Source organism: Homo sapiens, chromosome 7 (genome assembly GCF_000001405.40).
Source record: "Homo sapiens chromosome 7, GRCh38.p14 Primary Assembly".
Lineage (NCBI taxonomy): Eukaryota > Metazoa > Chordata > Mammalia > Primates > Hominidae > Homo > Homo sapiens.
In genome coordinates, this window is record NC_000007.14 from 155,443,289 (window position 1) to 155,465,374 (window position 22,086).

The 22,086-nt window shown below is 54.9% G+C and overlaps 1 protein-coding gene and 1 long non-coding RNA gene across 2 annotated transcripts in view, besides 3 other annotated features; one reads left to right on the plus strand and one right to left on the minus strand.

Moving 5' to 3' along the window:
* Nucleotides 1–13,830, minus strand: part of EN2-DT (EN2 divergent transcript) — a 35,913-nt gene extending 22,083 nt beyond the window's left edge. Inside the window, exons 1-2 of the long non-coding RNA NR_186580.1 lie at nt 13,702–13,830; nt 7,879–8,034 (exon numbers count right to left, since the gene is read on the minus strand). This is a non-coding gene — a long non-coding RNA (EN2 divergent transcript). The remainder of the gene's footprint in view (nt 1–7,878; nt 8,035–13,701) is intronic.
* Nucleotides 10,528–11,053: an enhancer, noted in NCBI's record as "H3K27ac-H3K4me1 hESC enhancer chr7:155246511-155247036 (GRCh37/hg19 assembly coordinates)". NCBI's record gives its function as "activates a minimal SCP1, AML or CMV promoter by ChIP-STARR-seq in naive H9 embryonic stem cells {active_cell/tissue: H9 hESC(naive)}" and the evidence as "EXISTENCE:reporter gene assay evidence [ECO:0000049][PMID:30033119]".
* Nucleotides 11,054–11,579: an enhancer, noted in NCBI's record as "H3K4me1 hESC enhancer chr7:155247037-155247562 (GRCh37/hg19 assembly coordinates)". NCBI's record gives its function as "activates a minimal SCP1, AML or CMV promoter by ChIP-STARR-seq in naive H9 embryonic stem cells {active_cell/tissue: H9 hESC(naive)}" and the evidence as "EXISTENCE:reporter gene assay evidence [ECO:0000049][PMID:30033119]".
* Nucleotides 13,503–14,494: an enhancer, noted in NCBI's record as "H3K27ac-H3K4me1 hESC enhancer chr7:155249486-155250477 (GRCh37/hg19 assembly coordinates)". NCBI's record gives its function as "activates a minimal SCP1, AML or CMV promoter by ChIP-STARR-seq in primed H9 embryonic stem cells {active_cell/tissue: H9 hESC(primed)}" and the evidence as "EXISTENCE:reporter gene assay evidence [ECO:0000049][PMID:30033119]".
* On the plus strand, nt 14,841–21,543 carry EN2 (engrailed homeobox 2). The gene is made up of 2 exons (NM_001427.4): nt 14,841–15,774; nt 19,083–21,543. The coding sequence occupies exons 1-2, from the start codon at nt 15,090–15,092 to the stop codon at nt 19,397–19,399; spliced, it is 1,002 nt and encodes a 333-aa protein (NP_001418.2). The 5' UTR covers nt 14,841–15,089; the 3' UTR covers nt 19,400–21,543.

Genomic DNA, 22,086 nt, shown 5'->3' on the forward strand with positions numbered 1-22,086 from the left:
GGCAGCCATTCACTCCCTGAAGCCACCCACCATACCCTCACCTCACAAAGCAAGGCAGCCAAATCCTATGCTGACTCCTGACAGTGCGCCCGAGTGCCCTGTTCTCTGTAAAATTCTTCTTCCCCTTGTTCCCTCCCCTTATGAGCTCAGACCCGTTCTAGGCTAGCACAACCAACAGAAAGAAAACGTGAGCCACAATGCAATTTTAATCTTTTTAGCAGCCACATGAACACCAGAGACAGGTGCAGTTAATTTAAGTAATATTTTAGTTGACCTAATATATCCAAAATATTATTATTTCAAAAGTAATCAATATACAAATTAACAAGACATTTTACATCCAATTTTTTTTTTTGGTACTAGGTCTTCCAATTCCAGCATGCATTTTACACCTCTAGCATATCTCAGCTTGGGCATTGCATTTCCATGGCAAATACTTGACCTGCATTTAGGGTTCATTAAGCTTGCAGGTAAAAAGGTAGCGTCACACGCCCAAGTTATTTCAGACATCTTTGGGGGTTTCCCAGGAGCTGAATTGAAAATCTATTTGTAAATCTACATTTATGTTAATTAAAATTAAAAATTCCACTCTTCAGCCACACTGGGTACATCTTACGTGCTCAGCACACCTATGGCTGGGGGCCATGCAGTCCCCAATCCCTCCCAAGTGTTCACAGAGGGATGGATGGGTACGGAAAATGTGGTGTGCAAGTGTTGCCTACATACACACAGTGGAATAGTAGCCTTAGAAAGGAAGGAAAGCCCGACACAGGCCACAGCGCAGCTGAACCTTGAGCATATTATGCTGAGTGAAACAAGCCAGACACAAAAAGACAAATACTATAATACAAGATGCCACTCGCATGAGGCTCCTAGAATCATCAAATTCATAGAAGCAGAAAGTAGAAGGTGGTTGTTTTCTAAATAATATTCACCCTCCAGATATCAAATTTGCCAAGACACAAAATTTCTGTTTGAATCTTAGATATAATCATTTTCAATGTAGGAGAAGCCCTGGTAGAACTTGGGTCCTCATAAGTGATACTGGAAAAACGAAAGTCCAAAAGCTGGAAAGTCCCTTGGGAGTTCAGGAATCCAAAGTGGTCCTTCAGCAATAGGGAAGTGGAGATAGCTAATGGGTACAAAAAAGTCATTAGAAAGAATGAATAAGATCTACTATTTGATAGCACAAAGGAGTGACTATAGTCAATAATAATTTCATTGTACATTTAAGAATAACTAAAAGGGTATAATTGGATTGTTGGTAACACAGAGGGTAAATGCTTGAAGGAATAGATACTCTTATCTTCCATGATGTAATTACTGCACATGTTCCTGAATCAAAACGTCTCACACCCCACAAATATATACACCTACTATGTACCCATAAATATTAAAAACTAAATTAAAAAAGAAGTGTATCCCAGGGAGGTCAGGTAAGCTGAGAGGCACCAATAGGTGCTATAGCCCTAGAGAGACAAGGCCCAGAGTCCAGAATGATCAGAGAGATTATGCTGGAATATCAGAGGACCACGCAGAGTGGCCCTGCATGGCCACAGTTCAGAGTGTGTGGAGGACACAAGGCTGGAGAAGGGGAAAGGAATCCCAGGGCCGGGCAGGAAAGGCCTTGGAAGCCTTCGTGTTAGGAGGGCCATGTGGTTGAGGTCACGGGGCGGGGAGGGGAGGGGAGATGACAGAGTGGAAGCTCAACAGGCCCTGGGTGCTCCATTCCCAGCTCCTTCACCCGCCAGGAGACCTTGGCCGTCTGTTCCCCGAGGTACCCTTGTGGAGTGGAGATCAGGAGATAGGCCCACAACCCCTGGTCTACAACTCCAAAATCCAAATGCTTTCAAAATGGGAGGGTGTCTTCCTAACTCCTTGGACAGCAGAACCTGACTTGAACAGACATAGGCTCCTTGTGGCTGTTACCTGCTGGTTCAGCTTTTCCTGTATTTACCACAGAACTATGACTGTGTTAGATAGGGCCCTGCTCACACCCCACGGGGTTAGGTGGCACATGATATGTGCACCACCTGACCTGTCCAAAATCAAAGAAATTCTGAAACGTGTCTGTGGCCCAGAGCTTTAGATGAGAAACTGTGGACATCTAGGATCCACCATACGTGATTGTGTAGGAAAAGTCATTCATTCATTTATGAAATCTCATTTAGTGCAGATCCTGGGGTTCCCTAAGACAACCTCCAAACTTTTTTTTACAGTTACACTGTGAGTCATTATGTAGCTTTGTTGCATGTAGACATCAGCATTGATGTGCAAAAAAAAAAAAAAAAAGTGAGTCTAGCTCCACATGGATGAAGGCCGTTAAACCACTGAGTCCAACTCCACATGGATGAAGGCCGTTAAACCAGTGAGTCCAGCTCCACATGGATGAAGTCCATTAAACCAGTGAGTCCAGCTCCACATGGATGAAGGCCGTTGAACCAGTGAGTCCAGCTCCACAGGGATGAAGGCCGTTAAACCAGTGAGCCCAGCTCCACGTGGATGAAGGCCGTTGAACCAGTGAGCCCAGCTCCACAGGGATGAAGGCCGTTAAACCAGTGAGCCCAGCTCCACATGGATGAAGGCCGTTAAACCAGTGAGTCCAGCTCCACATGGATGAAGGCCGTTAAACCAGTGAGTCCAGCTCCACATGGATGAAGGCCATTAAAGGTTGTTATTGGCCATTGGTAGCAGACATTGTGCTCTTCACAGCCACACACTCACAGGTTTTTTTTTTTTTTTCAAATGCAGGTTTTACTTAAGAATGTTCTTGAAGAAACAGTGAAAAAAAAATAGTTTTATTAAAGCTCAGCTCTGGAGCACATGTCTTTTCAATATTCTGGGTGAAGAAAGGGGGAGCTGTCATACAGAAGAACAGCGGCCATCGAGGAAAAGGACGGGCGGGCTACAGCCATGAGCTGACTGAGCCCGCTTTTTCATGGAGCCTCATTTTACATGGAACGGCACCCAACAGACAAATCATGGTTATTGAGACTTAGGTCTTTGACAGACACCTTTGCAAAAATAAATGAAACTACCCTGTCGTGTTGAGGAAAGTAGTATTTACCACTAAAGGTAAAATGTGAGTTTTTAAGTGAAAATTAAAATTCTTGAAAACTTGTATCCAACATCATGAGTCAGACAACCTCCCAAATTTAAAGAGTTTTCCAATAAGATTAGTGGTGATATTAACAAATGTGATTTTGTGATACTGTTTAAGGAAATAGTTCGACATTTGGAAGACCTGCATAACTCAGTGAACCAATATTTTCCAAATGACCAATATACAGTGGCATGAAATATTTTGCAGGCTGAGGCAGGTGGGTTACTTGAGGTCAGGAGTTTGAAACCAGCCTGGCCAACATGGTGAAACCCCATCTCTACTAAAAATACAAAAAATTAACTGGGTGTGGTGGCATGCACCTGTAATCCCAGCTTCTGGGGAGGCTGAGGCAGGAGAATCACTTGAACCCAGGAAGCAAGGTTGCAGTGAGCAGAGATTGTATCACTGCACTCTAGCCTGGGTGACAGAGAGAGACTCTGTCAAAAAGAAAGGGAAGGGAAGGGAAGGGGAAGGGGAAGGAAAAGGGGAAGGAGGGAGGGAGGGAGGGAGGGAGGGAGGGAGGGAGGGAGGGAGGAGGAAGGAAGGAAGGAAGGAAATATTTTGTGGGCAAAAGAGCCATTCAAAGTGCAAGACAGATAAATGGATTTTAATGTAATAGAGTATGAAATGTTCATTGACATGGTTTCAGATTCCACATTGCAACCAACCTTTAAGAAACCACCATTTGTTGAATTTGGGGGTAATATCAAGGAAAAATGTTCACAATTATCTGCCAAGGCTAATAAAATACTCCTCCAGTTTTCAACTGCATATCTGTGACAGGTTGCATTTTCTTCATATACTTGAACCAAAATAATGGATTGCACAAACAAAAATGAGAATCCAACTATCTTCTATTAAGCCAGATATTAAAGAGGGGTGCAAACATGTACACCACTCTCCAGACTAATTTTTTTTTGTTTGGGGGAATAGAATAAGTGTTCATTAAAATATGTTAAGTAAACATGAAGTGGGTTTTTATTGTCATTGTAAATGAATCAATTAATCAATATATTTAAAACATTACCATTTCATCATACTGCGCAAATCACCGGATAGACATCTAAATCTATCCGTTGCTATATACAAAAGCTCTTTGGGGGGCTCAGTAAATTTCTAAGAGCATAAAGCAGTCCTGTGACCAAAAAGTCTGGGAGCACTGGCTTCATGTTACTGTGTGCCAGTCCCTTTAGCAGGACTGGGGGTACAGCCAGGAAGACGAGGCCCTGCCCTCTGGAAGGTATGTTCTAGATGAGAGACCAATAATAAACGCACCAACACCTTTACAACTGCAAGTAGCCATAAGTGCTGTGGGGAACACACCTGGATTAGGGAGTCATTTTAGATCATGTGACCCTTCTCTGGGGAACAGTCTGTGCCCAAAGATATGGAGAAAGAATGTACCAGATGAACAAAGAGTCAGGACCAAAGGAAAAGAGCTCCCCTGAGGTGGCCATGGCTTGGAGGCTCAAGAACTGGCAAAACTAGACTTAGAACCTCAGGTGAGGGAGGTGGCTGGTGGATTTCATTGTGCCTTGAAGGACATTGTAAGGATGTGTCTAATTCTCATGCACATGGAAACCACTGGTTTTGACCAAGGGTAGGTCTGAGCTGAAGCTTACTCTGTTGTAGGGAGAGCGGTGGACCACAGGGCACATGTGTGAGGTGGAGAGCTGGTTAGGAGGCCATGCAACCCTGCAGGTGGAGGGGGAAAGGGCTTGGGGGCTGGTGGAGGACGCAGGAGTATGGGGGAGCTGTGGAAAAGACGTGGAGGCAGAGCCAGCAGGCCTTGCTAAGGGACAGGAGGTGGCTCTAGAGAGAAAATGAGGGATCAGGGATGTCTCCTGGGGGGTGGCCAGCTGGGTGACTGGGAGAAACTGGGAAGGCGCAGATCAGGGCAGCAGGGGTAGCGGGATCGGGGGTGCTCTGAAGTGAACACGTGAAATTGAAGGTGCTCGTCAGCCTTCCAGTGGAGGCATCCAGGAGGCAGCTGGAACTGGAAGGAAATGGTGACAGTCGTCAGCACCGTAGAGGTGGCGGTGGTGGTGGTTACAGCTGGACCCCTCTGGGCTGGTGGGAAGTGTGGAGGTGAAGGAGCAGGGAGCAGGGGGAGGTGGAGAAGGAAACCTCAGGCTTACATTTTCACCCTATTCTTGGCTGCCATATTTTCAGGAAGTCCCTCTTGAGGCTGGGACAGAGGGTGGGGACAGTTCAGTCTCCCTGAGAGAGTTTATTCTCGGAGGCCTGCGGTGGGAGCCAGGGCGCGGCGGAGAGGGTTTCCCACCTCTTCCCCAGCAAGCGGGAGGGAGGCGCCGGGCTGAGGCTGCGCTGAGCTCGAGCTCGCCGCCCGGGTGGACCCGCCCTGTTCAAGCGCGGAGGGGCGGAGGCCTGGTTGGGTTGTAGCGTGGTGCGGAGCAGGACGCCGCCTCGTGCCATGGTCACTGGAGACGCACGCCCATCTTCCCTCCCGGGCCCGTCGATCCTGCCATCTTCCGCTCCCGGCCGCTCGTGGGTGTTCGTCATTTAGACCTTCCCCGTGCTTCATGGGACGCAAGCCCTCCCCCAGAGTTCGGTTTTGCAAAAGAGGTCTGGAGCCCTCGCTACAGATCCCCTCCCTGGGCCACGGAGGATGAGAAGGGTCACCGAGCCGAGCCGTAATCCTGCGTAACCCCTGACCTCTCTCCTTCCCTGCCCCCACGGCACCCCATCGTCCCCTCCCCGTCTCCGAGGTCCTCCAGAAAACAGCGCAGAATTGTGCAGATGTTTAGGAGATGTGAAGATGCTGGAGATGCTTAGGAGGCGACGGTTACGCGAGGAGAATTGCTTCCAGGTGCGCTTCTGGAACGCACGGAGATCCCCCGGCGGGGAAGGGGCCGGGGCTCGCGTCACTTAGTGTCTGCTCACCGATTTCCCTCTGAAGAGGGGGCCCAGGGCCTCTGCTGAGGGAGCGGGGAGGCGGTGCGGGCCCCTCCCGGGCACACATGGGTGTCCGCTCCTTCCTCCCCCTCCCCTCCCCTCGCACGGAGAGCGGAGAGCGGAGAGCGGAGAGCGACAGGGAGGCAGCCGAAGACTTGAATTTTGAAAGGGGAGCTGGCGGCGAATGGTGAATGAGACAGCTACTTAGGAAGCGAGTCCAGCCAGCCCGGGAGGCGGTGGAGACCCACGCCCGGAAGTAACCGGATTAGGTCTCAGAATGTGATCGCCCCCCGGGTCCCGGGGGAGACGCCAAGGACGCGCAAGCGGAGGGCGCGGAGACAACTGGGAGTCAGAGTCTCCATCACTTGGGCTGGGAACGCCTCTGGGCGTTCCGACGGGGTGGCGGTGGGGGTCGGGGGAGGCCCTTGAGAACCGTGCGGCCCGGGGAGAGCCCACCCATTGCTGAGCCCCGACACAGGCTTTGAAGTTGCTGCAGTGGCTCAGCCCCTCCCCCGTCCGGCCCTGCGCAGCGCGGTGCCGCAGAGTCCAGGCCGTGCCTCCGTTTCGTCGCTCAGAGCTTATTGCGGCGGCTCATTGGACCACGTCGGTGGGGCGATCGCAGCCTCTGATCTGTGAGCTGCAAAGAGCTCCGAGGTTCATTCACAAATCTGCGCCCCCAGCCGTCCCTCCACGCACCCGAGCCACGTCCCGGGACCCGGAGAGCCCGGGGCGTTGGGCGCTGCGGAGGAGGCCCGGCTTCTGTCGCTCCCTTCACCTCCCAGCCCGCGAGGGACTTGGGGGAAGGGGGAGCAAGCTTTCGCTCCGGAAGAAACGTTCGGAACCAAGGAGTCTGACTCCTGGATCCGGGTGCCTGTTGGATCCAGGCTCCCACTCCCGGGCCCTCCGGTCGAACCAAGGGTCCCGACAGGGCCCGAGGCACCCGCATTCCTAGGAGACAGGAGCTCGGCCAGGGCGCATCACCGGGTCCTGCTCCGAGCCAGAGGATGTAGTGTAGACACCCACCCCCACACCGCCCCTCCACAGAGCTCCTCTCCCCTTGGGGCGTCGCTGGGCACAGGGCAGGTCGCTAGGAATCCCCAGTAAAACCACGCTCGCTCAGAGGTTCGCGGCTTCCTCAGAGGGCGCTGGGGAAAGAGAGGGGACCTGATTTCTTCGACCCTCGGAGGAAAAGTGCTCGGGGCCTCCTAGGGACACAGCCCTGGAAGCTCACCTCATCTTAGCTTAGGCCGCGGCGAGGTGGGGAGGAGAGTTAGGAGAGGGGGAGAGGGGCTCTGCGCCCTGCAGAGGCCTTTAATTCTGGAGGAAAAAGACTGGGACACACCCAAGCGAGCCAAGGCCCGAGCCCCACGCACCTCCACCCACCCGGGGCGGCGCACAGCCAGCTCCTGCCGGGCGTGAGCACTCGATCAAGGGAGCAAGTGGAATGAAAATCCAGCTGGGGGGGTCCCCATCGACACAACTGTCCCGCAGTCGAGCTTCTGGATTCCTGGGAGATGTGGAGAGCCTGGGGCCGGCTCCCGCTCCGCAGAGCAGACTGGACTGCCCTAGGTGCCTGGAATGCGCCTGCACCCTGTCCCTCGGACCCGCGGGAGACCCGTGTTCCGCAAGTCCCCCTTCTCACCCTAGTCTGCCCCTACCTACATCCCGCCGGCGAGTGTGCCACCGCGAGGCGCCTCCTTCCCCGGGAAGGGAGCTCCCTTCCGCGCAGACCCGCATTGCCCTTCTTTTCGCTCGGTTTTGTTTTCCAGGGGTAGTTTCTGCAGAAAGGAGATTCTCCTCCGGGCCGAAGGGCTACCAGCCTGCAGTCAGTTCAGCCCCGGACCCTGGGAGATGCTCACCACTCTGCGGATCTTGATCCGAAATCCTTTCTGGCCGCCCACTGCGGAGAGTGTCCTCGTAGAGAGGTTTTCAATCGAAGGAGCCTGGGCTCCACATTTTGTCTTCAAGCCTGAGCTTTCAGGGCTGCTTTGCACGAGGTGCAGATGAACTTGTGTCTGCAAACAAGACAGAAAACCCTAAGTGCCGCCCGACCTTCCTCTTTTGGGGAACCCGCACTTTGTCCTGGGAGCGTGCCCAGCGCCTTAGTACCAAACTTTCTGGCCGGGGCTGGCAGAGCTCAGAGTCCCGCTTCCCCCTAGGCGCGGCCCCCTAACATCTGTAACCCAAATGTTGCGCCGCGGCCAAAATTAGCCCTGGCAGTGCGAACAGAGAACTAAAAGCAGGCAGTGAATGAGAACAGCTCGCATTTCTCCTTCCTGGTAGACGGGGAGGTGTAAATCCCGAGGAATTCTAGGGCATTCGCTCCAAACGTGGGAAATCTTCGCGCGTATCCCGTTTCTTCCTCCCAGCCTGTGTTAATGCTCCAAATGGTGTCGAGTTGCTCAACTTTGCCGTCATCACAGAGGCTGTTGTGTCTTAGGGGATTAACTGATGTGAGACACACAAAACCCTGCAACTCCATAACATAAACTATAGCACAGCCTTTCTGGAGAGGGCTGGAATATTTGAGTGAGTTTCCGAGAGGAAAAGAGGAGTTTTTTAGAGGAGAAACAGAGCACTTCTATAATGTGCCCTAACTGAGAAATCTTGTTCTACTGAGCTTTTCTTTAAGTGGAACCAGAAGTGCTGGGATGAGAGGGAAAGGATGGGAGTGCGTCCAAAGGTGGACAGCAGGTCCCCATCCCTGGTGGGAGTGAGACTGGACGGCATCCCCCGGAAAGGTGGTTTGGGCCTTGGACAAGGCTAGAGGCAGGAGTCCATGATGCAGAGATGACACAGTGCCCCTCCGCGTGTGAGTCCACGAAGGTCACTACTGAGGCTTTGTGCTTGTAAAAGGTCGCCACGCTTCACACAAGCTTCTATACTCAACACAGGGATTGATTGGGTACAGGGATCCCCCCATACCATACATGTAAGCATGTATGTCAATTAAAGATGCTCGTGCTAAAGAAACGGCCAACTTTGTTGAACTCAGAGGAACTGATCAATCATTTAACTAAGTAGAGGAAATGTTTGAATTTAATTCGCAATTTAGTTGCCTTTTTATATAAAACTATATATCTTTATTTATATTTGATGAATGAAAAAAGAAATCAGTTCATGACTTTAACTTAAACATATGTTTTTAAAAATATATTTCCCCCAGCTTAGCCAGTATATAAACTAATTGAGTTCTCCTGGTTAAGCATGATTCAGTTGTGATATTTAAGAGCGGGAGTGGTTGTTTAGATATTTTCTTCCTCACGTGAAACCTAGACTAATGAGTTATCATCTAACAAGCTGTAGGTAGTTTGGCTGGGCTGGATCCAGATGGTTTGAGTTAAATCTAGATTGTACTTGCCTAAAATTCTGTAAACCTCTAGCTACGCAAATCCTATTTCCAAAAATGCTGGGAAGTCACTGTATAAGAGTTTAAGCTACACTAGCCTCTCTGTGATTACTTGTAGCCTTTGGGGAAAGAATAGAAGAAAAGAAAATGTCAGCCTCTGTGAGGTGGGGCTGGTGTTTCAGGGGTTCCTTTTGAACATCTTGTTTTCTTTCCAAAGGTCAAAAGGAAGGCAGTGGATACATACTAGAATTTCTTCCATCTGTGAATGGTCGCAAGGCTGGAGAAGGTGGCTAGTGTACTTCAAGGCTCATTATCCTTTTCTGTGTTTTCCTTCCTGTTTTGGTAGGCTTAGCCAGCTCAAGCCTTGGGTGCCATTCTTCAAATTCCTTTGCCAAACTAATTTTACTTATTTGACTGGATTATTTGAGAGGTGCCACTTTCTTCTGGGTTGCTGTGATTTTGAGGGGGCATTTTCATAAGAGTCCAGGCATTAGGTGGTGAAACAGTCTGTGCTCCCAAACCTGCCCCTCCCAGGGCTCCCGGGAGACTCCAGAGTGCAGGTCTGTCTGGGGAGTCTCAGGGGTGGGCCTTGAGTGGAAGTGGGCCCACCTTCCACAGGAGTCCAAATTTTATAGGAATAAGAACAGCAGTAAAACAGGACAAGAGAGCAGGCAGGGAGCTGCCAAGGAAAGGCGATTCTTGGGAAGGCAGGTCACCCAGAATAAGGCTCCCCTGGCGCTGGAGAGCCGGAAGGGGGAGCGGGCACAGAGGACCTGGTTTAGGTGTGGGGGTTACTAGCACAAGTAGAGCCATCCTTCAGATTCTCCTTCAGAAGCAGCTGCTTTCCAGAGAAACCAGGTGAGGGACAGTTTCTGCATCTTTACACGCCAGCTCTGGAGATCTGCCCACCTGCCCCCAGCCGCCCCCCTCCCCGGGCGAGCCTGGGCTAAGTATCAAGTCAGGACAGAAGGGCGGTCCCCAGTCGGCTCCTGGCCCACTCTGCTTCCCCAACACCTAGGGAGCTTGGGCTCAGCACAGGCGCTTCTCCAGCGATCGGGGCAGAACCAGGACGTGCAATGCGACTGCCCCCCCCTCCCCGCTCCCCGGCAGAGCTTCTGTCCGCGCCAACCCACCCACCAGGCTCTGCCCGCGCCACGCGCGCCCCTGGCAGGCCTGGGGCGGGGAAAGGCGAAGCGCTGGGCACGCGAGGGCCTGTGCACCCCAGTTCCTACGACGCTCCTGGCCCTTTTCAGGCCCGCCGCTGCCGCATTTAACCCCCTCCTTCCGGGGGTTATTCTGAAGAAGTCTCAGACCCTAGACCCAGCCTCCCAGACCCCGTCCCCGAGCTCGCCCGGTGGGCCTGTAGGCCGGTCCTCCTTCGCCCAGAGGAGAGCGCAGACACGCAATGTCCGCCCGTTGGCCCCGCCCGCCCCACCCCTGCTCCCCGCGCCCCTTCGTTTCGGCCTTTGTCTACAGGCCGGGTCGGAACGTCAGCCCCAGGAGCCGACGGTGGCTCTCTGCTCGCCCCGGGGAAGGTGTTGCTCTCCTATCGGCCCCAATTCCCCGCCCGGCGCCTGGGGCTTGGCTGCGGGGCTCGGCTCCCAGCCGAGGGCGCAGGGCTGGCCAGGCCTGCTTTGGCTGAGGTGGAGATCTCGCTCTCAGGGATTGTTGGGCGTCTCTGCCCCGCGAGTAACGAGACCGCCGCGAGCGAACGGCTTTCATTGAGTCCATTTTTCCAAGTGTCACCACGTCAAGCTAGAGAAGCGAGGCGAGTGGAGGGGACGCAGAGGGGCCGGAAAAGTCACCCTTCTCTGGCCTCGTTTTCAGATAAAAACGGGAGCCTGGCTCGGCATCCGGGCGCCCGGTGTCTCCGGGGCGCTTCACTGAGGTTTTGTTTGCAAAACTAGCGTCCGTGTCCTGAAGCGCACGGCGTCTGGAAGCTGCTTTCCTGCTCGCCCTCTCCGAGGCCCCTCTTTGTGCAGCGAGCCTGAGAAATATGGAGGACCGTCCTCCGCAAGCGGGTGGTCGCGGGCGCTCTCCGATTCCTGGGTGAAGCTAGAGGGAAAACGGGGTTCCCGGGTCAGTGCCCCACTTTCCATCCCGGGAGAAACTAATGTCCGGAGAGGGCTCGTCTGATCCGCACAGAAAGGCCGACCTTGAGGGCGGCGGTCGTTCGGGGGAGAAAGCGGAGGCTCTGGGCTCGCGGGAGCGCGGCAGCCGGGGCTGGCATCGCAGAGGAGAGACACGCCACTGCCCCGCATCCCCAGAAAGCGCGAGGCGCCGTCCCAGCTGGGGCAGGCGGCCGAGGCCGGTCCTCATGCGCGCTTCTCGAAGCTTCCTGAAACACCTTGCGGAGTTCCGTGTGTATAGAACTCAGCACCGCCCAGCCCCTGGGCAGCTCAACTTTCTGCAGCCCCATCCCAGCTTCCCCGGCCCTTTGAACGGTGACCCCTCTTACCGCTTTCCCAGAGTTGTTTCGTGTTTGGGTCCACTCTGGGGGGCCCGGTACCCTCTAGTTATCTCTCTCTTCATTTATTTCTCTTTCTCCTATTCCTCCCTCCACCTCTCACCTTCCTCCTTTCCAGGAGAGCGACCCACGAATTCCTCTTCCTCCAGCCAACCCCAGGGCCCAGCCCGCAGACCCTGCGAGGGCAGGTCTCTGCCCACCGGCCCGCCAGGCGCCCTGGAGGTGACGCTCTGCTTCCCAGAGTCTCTGTTGCAGCCACGAATTGGGGTCTGGGTCGCAGGAAAGCACAGGGCTGAAGCCCAGCGTCTTGGGGCCATTTATACTGAGGCAGTCAGAGGCAAAGAGTCCCAAGAATTCAGAAAATACTTCTCAGGAAGCCGCCTAATTGGCTTTCATGGGACAGGTGGAGCCATTAACCTGGGATGGTTTTGCAGGAACCAAAGAGCTCAGGGCCCCTCCTCCCCCCAATATCATGTTCAGGAGACCCAGAGTCGTTGGACCCTCCCTTTCCTGACTGGTGATCATCAGAGTTTCCAGAGTTGCAGAAAATTCTCCCCCCAAAAAACCAAGTAAGCGTCAATAAGACTTCCCACAAACTCTCACCAGCCCTATTTTCCCGGGGGGCAGGTAGACTGTGGGGTTTGATTTTTTGAGACTCGGGGAGGACCCCTGGCAGATGTGTGCCTAGCCAGAACATTTGGTAAGGACTCCTCCAATGAAGAAAAAGTGGAGGAATCCAGCCCCAGCGAGAAGAGGCTTCCCCACCCTGCCCTAGACACACCGGACAGAGGGCACACTCTGACCAGAGCCACGTCCAGTGGCCAGGAGGCCAGCCCAGCACCTCCTCCCCCACCATTCCCGTCCTGGGTGGGGGGGTAATTTTCCTGGGAGCAGCTGTGGGAACTGTCGTTTCTCATCCCAGCCCAGCCAGCACTCTGAAGCCTGCAGGGGAAGGACAGCACGTGGGATGGACACTGGGGAAGGAGCTTCGCAAGGCCAGGGTGCAACCTTCAGGCCCCAGGTGGCCTGGCAGGCCACGCTGCCTCGGAGATGCTTGCCAGACTCCCCAAGTTCACTCAGGGCCTGGCAGCAACCTGCTGGCTGCCTCTGCGGGGGTCTGGGTTGCTGAGCACGGTGCAGCTGCCCAGGGCCAATCAGCCCTAGGGTGTCCGTGCCAGGCTGCGGCCTCCCCGCCTCCCCCGCACTGAGGGTACTCATGGCGTGCAAATGCTCCCGCACCCCCAGAGCTGCCCTATCGGATGTTTCCAGGAATTCACACATTTCCATAAAAATGCATTTTAAATGATGGACAGGCGAGCCTGGGGTAACAACGGGTGTTTGGTGGGTAGACAAGAGCAAATGGGAAGGAGCCCGAGGGAGGAGGGGGAAGAGAAGAGGAAACAGAACTTCCAGTTGGACATTCTGACAACAGCTGGAAGGAAAGTCTAGAAAAGATGAAGAGAGAGGAGGGGAGAAACCAACTGGGGCTCCCACCCTTGCCGTTGGATTCCTAATTCTCGTTTCAAATGGGCCCTGCTCTCCGGCAAAATTAGTTTAAAGGATTTTAAAACAAAGAAAACGAGATGACCGGTCTGGGAGCTCCTCAATCAGAGTAGAGAAGTTAGAGGGGGGCGGGCGACTTGGTTTTGAAGTCTTAGCTGAACAGTCACCCCTCCTCTCCTTGGCAAAAAGGATTCCTTTAGAACCTCCGAGGCTCCTGGATTTCTCCCTTCGCAAATGGAGCCGCATACTGCATTCCCCCGCTCTTTCGGATCGCTAAGCATGTTTCATGAGGGTCGCTGTCCCCGGGTGGAATGCGGCCGTATGCACGCGCCTCCCTGCACACGCACACACACGCACACTTACAATAAGTGTCTGCAGGAGGAGTGTCCTGCGCGCCAGCTCTGCGTTTAAGACAGGAAGCTGCCGGGTTACCGAGTCAAATGGGAGTGACACTATTCCTCTCCATCAGCAAGGAAAGCGGACCACAAAAGTCCCTTTGTATCTCGGCAGCTCATTTAATATTATTTATGCATTTTGTGCAAGGAATTGTGGGATTTCGCCCCACGGTAAACAATATGGAAATCTTAAAAATAGCGATCTTCCTGTGCGTGTCCACCTACGCGCCCCGGGGTGACCTGGCGGGGCTGTCGCCGGGTGACTCACACCCCTGAACCGCGAAGCGACAGGGAAAGCGCGGGCGAGCGCAGGAGACGCGGTCGGGGGTCTCTCCGGGTTCCTGGGCTCCCGCACCCGGAGCGGGGGACGCGGCCGCTTTAAGGGGAGGAGGGGCGGCGGGCTGCTCCTGTCACCCAGCGGCGGCCGGAGCGTCACGTGGGCGCGCGGCGCCGCGGCCATTGGCCCGAGGCACGTGTCCAGGAGACCGGCCTGCGACGTCACTCGAGGGGGCTCTGTTAAAAATAAGAACAAAAATCCAGAGTGAAAGTGTCTCAGGTTGCGCCGAGTGGCCTGGAAATTTCCGAGCCCGCGCGGAGGCCGAGGCGGCGAGGGCGGCGGACGGCCGGGGAGCGCGGGCGGCCCAGCCCGGCCCGGCCGGGCCCTGGCCTCGCGTCTCTCACCCATGCGACTCGGGCCGCGGAGCTCTGCGGGGCTCGGCGGGGGCGCGGCCGCACGCCGGTGGGGCGCCCCGGCCCGCAGCGGGGCGGCGGCCGCGAGGAGGGGGCCTCCATGTGCGTGCGGGCGGTGGCGGGCGCGCTGACCGCGGGCGCCCGGCACCCTCGAGGGCCGGCTAGGGCGTGCGGGCGGGGACGGCCGGGCGGCGGCGGCGGCCGGAGCCGGCCCGGGCGGGCGTGAGCGCCGGGGAACGCGCTGCCTGCATGCGCGCAGCTCTCGCCCCGGGCGGCCCAGGCGGCGGCGCCGGAGCCCGAGGCGGCCGGACGCGGAGAGGAGCGGGGAGCCCGGGAGGCGGCCCGCGTCCCCGCCGGACCACTGCGACTGTCTAGACCCCGGCTGCGCGGCGAAGTCGAGGACTTGGCTCTGTTGAATCTCTCATCGTCTGGGCGAGCGGGGCGGCTCGTGGTGTTTCTAACCCAGTTCGTGGATTCAAAGGTGGCTCCGCGCCGAGCGCGGCCGGCGACTTGTAGGACCTCAGCCCTGGCCGCGGCCGCCGCGCACGCCCTCGGAAGACTCGGCGGGGTGGGGGCGCGGGGGTCTCCGTGTGCGCCGCGGGAGGGCCGAAGGCTGATTTGGAAGGGCGTCCCCGGAGAACCAGTGTGGGATTTACTGTGAACAGCATGGAGGAGAATGACCCCAAGCCTGGCGAAGCAGCGGCGGCGGTGGAGGGACAGCGGCAGCCGGAATCCAGCCCCGGCGGCGGCTCGGGCGGCGGCGGCGGTAGCAGCCCGGGCGAAGCGGACACCGGGCGCCGGCGGGCTCTGATGCTGCCCGCGGTCCTGCAGGCGCCCGGCAACCACCAGCACCCGCACCGCATCACCAACTTCTTCATCGACAACATCCTGCGGCCCGAGTTCGGCCGGCGAAAGGACGCGGGGACCTGCTGTGCGGGCGCGGGAGGAGGAAGGGGCGGCGGAGCCGGCGGCGAAGGCGGCGCGAGCGGTGCGGAGGGAGGCGGCGGCGCGGGCGGCTCGGAGCAGCTCTTGGGCTCGGGCTCCCGAGAGCCCCGGCAGAACCCGCCATGTGCGCCCGGCGCGGGCGGGCCGCTCCCAGCCGCCGGCAGCGACTCTCCGGGTGACGGGGAAGGCGGCTCCAAGACGCTCTCGCTGCACGGTGGCGCCAAGAAAGGCGGCGACCCCGGCGGCCCCCTGGACGGGTCGCTCAAGGCCCGCGGCTTGGGCGGCGGCGACCTGTCGGTGAGCTCGGACTCGGACAGCTCGCAAGCCGGCGCCAACCTGGGCGCGCAGCCCATGCTCTGGCCGGCGTGGGTCTACTGTACGCGCTACTCGGACCGGCCTTCTTCAGGTGAGCCCGCGGGGACCACGCGTCCCGGCTCGCCGCGGGGAGGCCCGCGGAGCTGGGGGGCGGTGCTGGCGCGGGAACTTACCGGGAGGAAAACATCTCGAACCTCCCCCGCGCACACGCACAAAGACTCACGCGACATTGTGTGAAGCTGACGCCGGCCCGGGCAGCGGCCAGGAGTCCAGCGGCAGGACTGATTCGCTAGGGGGTACAGACTTCTTAGGACCGCAGAAGGGACCTTCTTTCTTTCTCTGTCTCTCTCTCTCCTTCCTCTCTCCCTGTCTCCCCTCTCTGTCTTCCACCCCGCCTTGGCGCATCTCTTCCCAGCCCCTAGCCCATGTCTCCCCCACTGTAGTTTTTTTTGGTGGGAACGTGGTGGCTGGAAGATGGGCCCGGAAGTGCACACTCTCATCCCCTTCCCTACGATCTTCCAACTCAGGCCAGGCCGGGGACGCATGCCCCAGCCCACCCCAGACTTGTCCTACCATCCGGTTATCCCGGCTGTGCTCGGGGAAGAAAAGGCGAGGCCCTTTGCCGCTCTGCCTTCTGCCCCTCGGGCCTGCGCTGACCGGTGGGACTCAGGAGGATGCACACAGGGAAGGAGGAAAATAAAGGCGCCCTTTCCCCTTGGCTCCACTTTGTTTGCCAGCGCCAGCCCGCAGTGGTGGGGCTCAGCCCCCTTCCTGCACACAGCGAGGACAAGGGAGGCAGCCGTCCCTCCCGGCACCTGCCATCCCCAAATAGAAAGGACCTTCTCTCAGGGTTTCCTGGGGGCTGCTGATGGGAAAGAGGCAGCATTCGCAGGGGCCCTGCAGAGATGCTGGATATATTTTTTCATAGATCTGCGATTTTAAAAAACTAAGTCCATGTCCTTGTAGAAATCATCAACTGCATTCCATGCGGGTCTGCGGCTGGGAACCGCCATTAGAAGTGGACTGTTTGACCCCGAGCTGGCAGCGGATCCCCGCTGCCCCCAAACCCTCAACTATTTTGCGGGGGTCATTTGCCCAGATCACAGCAGGAGTGAGCCAACCCTTGGGCCGCCATCCCGCAGAACTATGCGTGCATATTTCTGATGAAATTCAGATTTCTCAGCTAGATCTGAAATTTGCTCCATTGTTCTCGTCTTCCTCCTTTGTTAATATTTAATTAACATACAGGCTCACAATGCCGGGCGAGGAGACTCGGCCGGGCTTTGTGCGGCGCGGGAGTTCGCTGAGCCAGCCCCCAACGGCCCGGGAGCTGGGCAGCACCGCCCGGCCCGGCCTGGCCCGGCCCAGCTCAGCCCAGCCCAAGTCGCCTATCTTCATGGGCTTTAAAATATCCCTGCAAGATAATGTTTCTGTTCTTTGGTTTCTCCGAAAGAAAGGGGAGAGAGAGTTTTCTTGGGGAGGTTTGATTCTGTTTCTGAGACTCCTAAGTATTTGTCTTTTGAAAGAAAATCAAGAAAAAAACCTAAAAATTATTATTTTAGGGAAATTTATTGCCATAAAATGGTGTCCTTTTGCGGGCTGCTTCATGAGTGCATTAACAAGAGCCCCAGGACCAGAAGAGTTTGGGGGTAGAGTTCTGGGGAAGGGAGTGGTTGGAAACCCAGACAGAGATGGGCTCTGGGAGCAGGAGGCTGGGGCCTCTCCTGGAGCCTTGTGCCCCATCCCCCACCACCGTTCCGGAGGGCCAACCCCATCTCCAAATCTGCACCTACCCCTACCAAAGCCAGGCCCACTGGCCTGGAGCCCTGGGCGTGAGCAAGACAGGCACTGAGTGTGTACGTGTGCATGGGGTGGGTGCCCAAGTATAGGGTGTGTGCTCTCATGGGTGGTGAGCCTGCCTATGGGTTGCTTTAAAAGCTGCCCTTGGTGCTCCTGAGGTGGTGCCCACAGATCCTCTTTCTCCAGGCCTGTCTCCTGGAGAGAGCACAAGACTCACTTGGCCATGAGGGAGTGCTTGGCATTCACCCTGGGCCTCCAGTTCGTCCCCCACCTCTTGCTGGGCACAGCCCCAGCACCCTAGTTGACTCTCCTGACCTGGGCAGGGTGCAGTCCCAGGGCCTCCAAGGAGATCCACATTCCTCTTCTCCTCAGTGTGCCCGGCAGCTCTCCGGCCCTGAAGGGTGGGGGGCCCCCAGCCTTCTCCAGCCACAGGGACCTGTGATGAAGCTGGGGCCAGATGCTCCCTAAAGCCGATTCATACACCGCACAAATTGAAACCCAGAGGCGAGGTCACCACTCCCTGCCAGTGGCCTTGCCCCCTTCTTCCCCCACAGGGAACGCCAGGGGGTTGAGCCTCTTATCACCAAAAAGAAACTGATGACACTTCCCTCCTTCTGCTCTCCTCCCTCTGCCCTTTCCCCATGGATAGCAGGTCCTAGAAGCCTTACAGCGACCCTGTCCAAAACCTGGGGCAGGTCCACAGGGAGAAGGCCAGGTCAGGTTCATAAGTCTGAATCCCAGTTGGGAGGCACAGTGGGGAGGGTCAGAAGTGGACCTGGACAAGGTCAGCTGGGCTACCCTGCTGCCCACAGTGAAGCAGTCCCATGTCTGGGGAAAGGGTGGTGCAGTCAACACCCTTGTAGAGCCAGGTCCCCTCTCCTGGACAGGAAACCTGGGAGATTTCCAGTGGGTGAAGGACTCACCCACTGTGAGTAGCTCAGTGCCCCTCCCCACCAAGGAGGGAAGTACATGCACTGACTCTTCCTTAAAGGAATGAACTTGGGTCCACAGAGCCCTTGGCTGGGAGTCATAGAGGAGCTTGGGTGGAGGCAGACACTCTGGGCCCCTCCTGTCCTCAGGGCCCACCTGCCCCTGATTCCCACAGCCCTTGGCACCCTGTGGGGTATCCCCATGAGGGTCCCCATCATAGCCCTCAGGGCGCCTCCTGCTTCTGTGACCGCCCTGCAGCCTTTCCCAGTCTTCTCTCCTCCCCTCTCTCTCAGCACCTACCGCCATCCCTGTTCCTGAACAGAGAGCCTCAGAAAGGACTAGGAAAAACCAGGCCAGAAAGTGTGGGGAGTTTTGCTTACATCCAGGAGTTTTACTTTTATCTAGAGACCCCTCATTTGTGGTCAGCCTGCCCACTAGGCCTGCCCCATAGTCCCACTTACATCACACGCAGTCCTCCCTCACCAAGTGGTGGAGGTCCGCGTTGAGCCCATGCCCAGTCCGAAGTCTAGCCCCACATCTGGCGGTTCAGCCTCGAGTGGCCTTGGGCGAGTCACTTCCCTCTTGGGGCCCCAGAATCCTTACCCGGTGCCTATTGGGTGGCACACCTCTGGGTAACCTGACTTCTCTCTGTCCACCGTATCTACCCAGGTCCCAGGTCTCGAAAACCAAAGAAGAAGAACCCGAACAAAGAGGACAAGCGGCCGCGCACGGCCTTTACCGCCGAGCAGCTGCAGAGGCTCAAGGCCGAGTTCCAGACCAACAGGTACCTGACGGAGCAGCGGCGCCAGAGCCTGGCGCAGGAGCTGAGCCTCAACGAGTCACAGATCAAGATTTGGTTCCAGAACAAGCGCGCCAAGATCAAGAAGGCCACGGGCAACAAGAACACGCTGGCCGTGCACCTCATGGCACAGGGCTTGTACAACCACTCCACCACAGCCAAGGAGGGCAAGTCGGACAGCGAGTAGGGCGGGGGGCATGGAGGCCAGGTCTCAGTCCGCGCTAAACAATGCAATAATTTAAAATCATAAAGGGCCAGTGTATAAAGATTATACCAGCATTAATAGTGAAAATATTGTGTATTAGCTAAGGTTCTGAAATATTCTATGTATATATCATTTACAGGTGGTATAAAATCCAAAATATCTGACTATAAAATATTTTTTTGAGTTTTTTGTGTTTATGAGATTATGCTAATTTTATGGGTTTTTTTCTTTTTTGCGAAGGGGGCTGCTTAGGGTTTCACCTTTTTTTAATCCCCTAAGCTCCATTATATGACATTGGACACTTTTTTATTATTCCAAAAGAAGAAAAAATTAAAACAACTTGCTGAAGTCCAAAGATTTTTTATTGCTGCATTTCACACAACTGTGAACCGAATAAATAGCTCCTATTTGGTCTATGACTTCTGCCACTTTGTTTGTGTTGGCTTGGTGAGGACAGCAGGAGGGGCCCACACCTCAAGCCTGGACCAGCCACCTCAAGGCCTTGGGGAGCTTAGGGGACCTGGTGGGAGAGAGGGGACTTCCAGGGTCCTTGGGCCAGTTCTGGGATTTGGCCCTGGGAAGCAGCCCAGCGTACCCCAGGCCTGCTCTGGGAAGTCGGCTCCATGCTCACCAGCAGCCGCCCAGGCCCGCAGCCTCACCCGGCTCCCTCTCCTCACCCTCCTGCACCTAACTCCCTCCTCCTTCTCCTTTTTCCTCCTCTTCCTCCTTCCTCCTTCCTCCTGCTCCTCCTTTCTTCTTCTTTTTCTTCTCCTCCTCCTCCTTCCTTCCTCCTCCTCCTTCTCTTTCCTCCTCCTCCTCACCAAGGGCCCAACCGTGTGCATACATCGTCTGCGTCTGTGGTCTGTGTCGCTGTCCCCAGTCCCACCGCAGTCCTGCCGCAGGCCTAACCCTCCTGCCCTGGGCACTGCCTCCATGCAGAAGCGCTTCGAGGTTCTGGGGCTAAAGGCCTGGGGTGTGTGGCCTAAAGCCCAAGAGCGGTGGGGCGACCCTCCTTTTGGCTTGGCCCCAGGAATTTCCTGTGACTCCACCAGCCATCATGGGTGCCAGCCAGGGTCCCAGAAATGAGGCCATGGCTCACTGTTTCTGGGCGGGCAGAAGGCTCTGTAGAGGGAGATGGCATCATCTATCTTCCTTTCCTTTTTCTTTTCTTCCCTATTTTTTTCTTTTTTTCCTTTATTTTTTTCTTTTCTTGGAGTGGCTGCTTCTGCTATAGAGAACATTCTTCCAAGATAAATATGTGTGTTTACACATATGTCTGCATGCATGTGAACACACACACACACACACACACACCAGGCGTGTTTGAGTCCACAGTTCTGAAACATGTGGCTACCTTGTCTTTCAAAAGAACTCAGAATCCTCCAGGATCTAGAAGAAGGAAGAAAGTGTGTAAATAATCATTTCTTATCATCACTTTTTGTCTTTTCTTGTTTTTTAAAATATACATTTTATTTTTGAAGGTGTGGTACAGTGTAAATTAAATATATTCAATATATTTCCCACCAAGTACCTATATATGTATATAAACAAACACATTATCTATATATAACGCCACACTGTCTTCTGTTTAGTGTATGGGGAAAGACCAATCCAACTGTCCATCTGTGGCTGGGACAGCCCAGGGGGTGTGCCCACGGCTGACCCAGGGGTGTGCACACGGCTGAGCTGGGAGTCCCGCTGGTCTCCCTGAGGACTGAGGGTGAACTTCGCTCTTTGCCTTAAACCTCTTTATTTCATTGCAGTAATAGTTTTACGTTGTACATAATAGTGTAAACCTTTTTAAAAAGGAAAGTATAAAAACAAAAGTTGTAATTTAAAAGTCTGAATAACCATCTGCTGCTTAGGAAACTCAATGAAATGACATGCCTTTTTAGCAGGAAGCAAAGTTGGTTTCTGTTTTTTGTTTTCTTTGTTGTTTTAGTTTATAAAACATGTGCATTTTACAGTTCCAGTATCAAATATTTATAATCTTATGAGAAATGAATGAATGTTTCTATTTACAACTGTGCTTATCAAAATTGTGAACACCCCCACCCCCGCATTTTTGTGTGTTGAAATTCTTGAAGGTTACATTAAATAAAACAAAATCTCTTTATTATAAAATACTGAAGGTCCCAGGTGGAATGATGAGTTTTCTAAGCATGTCTGAGTCCAGAGGAACTGCCTGGGCATCCTCCCCAGTACTCAGGTGCTCATGGCCTTCGCCCCGCCTGGGAGCAGGTGCCAGGTGCCTTTGTAGCGAGAGGTGATTATTATTTTTTTTTAAATAAGACAGTTTGGATATGTCACATGTGAGCACAGAATAACCAAAAGAAGTACACATTTTGTTACCAGGAGGAAGTGTTCAAAACTACGGTGCTATTCCAGTGACTACATTTTTTTAAATTTTGCGAAGTTCAACAGGTCTCCCTCCGGCTGGGTGCTCACTGGCCCTGCCACCCGTGCTGGACCGAGGCGCTTTCCCCTGGGGACAGGAACTTTTTACTCCACTGAGACAAAGAGACTCTCCTTTTCAAAGTGTCATTTTTGTTTACCTTTTGTTGTTTCCCCCCCAAAACAAAAGACTTTGTACAACTTCCTAAGCAGGATTGGGGGAGGGATCAGCTTCGCCTGTGCTGACCGCGCCTCTGGATTCCGCTCATCAGGAA

Bases quoted from the DNA above. Each gene is read 5' to 3' on its own strand.
- EN2 (NM_001427.4), top strand. From the start codon at position 15,090: ATGGAGGAGAATGACCCCAAGCCTGGCGAAGCAGCGGCGGCGGTGGAG. The intron at 15,775-19,082 runs GTGAGCCCGCGG...GTATCTACCCAG, and splicing joins CTCGGACCGGCCTTCTTCAG to GTCCCAGGTCTCGAAAACCA.